We start from the raw sequence: 2,585 nt of genomic DNA on the forward strand, positions 1-2,585 counted from the left end.
CAATGATGCTTCTATAAATCGTTTATATATATAACTGCTTAATAGTTATCCATATTCTTGATCAAATTACTTTTTATATGGTGTCAATTTAAGCTCTCAGTAACAAGATTTTAGAAAATTCAACTTATTATACTTACATCACATGAAATGCTACTTGTAACTTGGTAAAATCTTAAGTGATATTAGAACCAAATTGATGCTTGAATATGCATTGTCATAATTTCTAATGAAAATAAACTTCTGCTGGGAGCAGTGGCTCACGCCTGTAATCCCAGCATTTTGGGAGGCAAGGCTGAGGTGGTTGGATCACAAAGTCAGGAGATCAAGACCATTCTGGCCAACATAGTGAAACCCCATCTCTACTAAAAATACAACAATTAGCTGGGCATGGTGGCACATGCCTGTAGTCCCAGCTACTCAGGAGGCTGAGGCAGAAGAATCGCTTAAACCTGGGAGGTGGAGGTTGCAGTGAGCCGAGATCGCACCACTGCACTCCAGCTTGGTGACAGAGTGAGACTCCATCTCATAAAATAAAAAATAAAAATAAATAAATAAACTTCAAACAATGTGCTTACATTTACTGAAATCTTTGCACATTTCTGTTTTCCGTTATGATTTTTAAATATCCAAATGGTAAAACAGGACATTTTTATCAGTTTCCATATTCTGTGTTTTAAAATTATATTTGTTATAATAAAATAGTAATTCATATCATCCAAGTCCAAATTTATTTATTTTACTGTTAACAACAATACAATAAATATTTATAGAAGCCCAGTATAGTCTGGGAGAAAACAGTTTTGGGTTTTCCTAAATGCTGTCTTCTCTGACGCTGTCATTTGAATCCGCTTATAATCAGCAACCATTCCTTGAGTATCTGCTATGTGAAAAGCACATCTTCTGACTGCAGCTCCATGAGATAAATGTAGGGCAAATGGACAACAAAATTTCAATTGCAATTCCAATTTCGAAGTGAGTATCACAAAATAAGCATACCTCTAACTACCTATTAAAAAGTAATTCAGAGGCCGAGTGCAGTGGCTCCTGCTTGTAATCCCAGCACTTTGGGAGGCTGAGGTGGGTGGATCACTTGAGTCCAGGAGTTAGAGACCAGCCTGGGCAACATGGTGAAACCCTGTCTCTACAAAAATACAAAAACTAGCTGGGCGTGGTGGCAGGCACCTGTAATCCCAGCTACTCAGGAGGCTGAGGCAGGATAATCACTTCAGCTGGGGAGGCAGAGGTTGCAGTGAGCTGACGTCATGCCACTGCACTACATCCTGGGCAACAGTGTGAGAGTCCATCTCAAAAAACAAAACAAAACAAAACAAAATGTAGGGTTCACTTCCAAGATGGCTGAAAGGTACAGCTTCAATCTACAGCTCCCAGCGAGATGGACAAAGAAGACAGGTGATTTCTGCATTTCCAACTAAGGTACCTGGTTCATCTCACTGGGATTGGTTGGACAGTGGGTGCAGCCCACAGAGGGTGAGCCAAAGCAGGGTGGGGTGTCGCCTCACCCCGGAAGAGCAAGAGGTCAGGGCATTTCCTTTTCCTAGCCAAAGGAAGCCGTGAGTGACTGTACCTGGAGGAACAGTACACTCCTGCGCAAATACTGTGCTACTCCCACAGCTTCACAACCAGCAGACCAGGAAATTCCCTTGCTTGGCTCCGCAGGTCCCATGCCCACAGAGCCTTGCTCGCTGCTAGTGCAGCAGCCTGAGATAGACCTGGGAAGCTGAAGCCTGGCAGGGGGAGGGGCTTTTTCCATTGCTGAGGCTTGAGTAGGCAGTTCTATGCTCACAGTGTAAACAAAGTGGCAGGGAAGCTTGAACTGGGTGGAGCCCAGCGCAGCTCAGCAAGACCTACTGCCTCTCTAGAGTCCACCTATGGGGGCAGGGCATATCTGAACAAAAGGCAGCAGACAGCTTCTGTAGACTTAATCGTCCCTGCCTGACAGCTCTGAAGACAGTAGTGGTTCTCCCAGCACAGCGTTCGAGCTCCAATAATGGACAGACTGCCTCCTCAAGTGGGTCCCTGACCCCCGTGTAGCCTGACTGGGAGACACCTCCCAGTAGCTTCCAGAAAGAAGGAAGCTTCCAGAGGAAGATCAGGCAGCAATATTTGCTGTTCTGCAGCCTCCGCTGGTGATACCCAGGCAAACAGGGTCTGTAGTGGACCTCCAGCAAACTCCAACAGATCTCCAGCTGAGGGTCTGGTCTGTTAGAAGGAAAACTAACAAACAGAAAGGAATAGCATCAACATCAACAAAAAGGACATCCACACCAAAACCCCGTCTGTAGGTCACCATCATCAAAGACCAAAGGTAGATAAAAACCACAAAGATGGGGAGAAACCAGCACAGAAAAGGTGAAAATTCCAAAAACCAGAACACCTCTTCTCCTCCAAAGGAGCACAACTCCTCGCCAGCAAGGGAACAAAACTGGATGGAGAATGAGTTTGACGAAGTGACAGAAGTAGGCTTCGGAAGGTGGATAATAACAAACTTCTCTGAGCTAAAGGAGCATGTTCTAACCCAAAGCAAGGAAGCTAAGAACCTTGAAAAAAGGTTAGATGAATCGCTA

At 44.6% G+C, this 2,585-nt stretch overlaps 1 annotated feature.

Moving 5' to 3' along the window:
* Window positions 1,109-2,308: an enhancer, noted in NCBI's record as "MED14-independent group 3 enhancer chr7:81107551-81108750 (GRCh37/hg19 assembly coordinates)". NCBI's record gives its function as "activates an origin of replication core promoter dependent on BRD2, BRD4, P300/CBP and CDK7 cofactors, and independent of MED14, by STARR-seq in HCT116 cells {active_cell/tissue: HCT116}" and the evidence as "EXISTENCE:reporter gene assay evidence [ECO:0000049][PMID:35650434]".

This window comes from Homo sapiens, chromosome 7, assembly GCF_000001405.40.
Source record: "Homo sapiens chromosome 7, GRCh38.p14 Primary Assembly".
NCBI classification, from domain to species: Eukaryota; Metazoa; Chordata; class Mammalia; order Primates; family Hominidae; genus Homo; species Homo sapiens.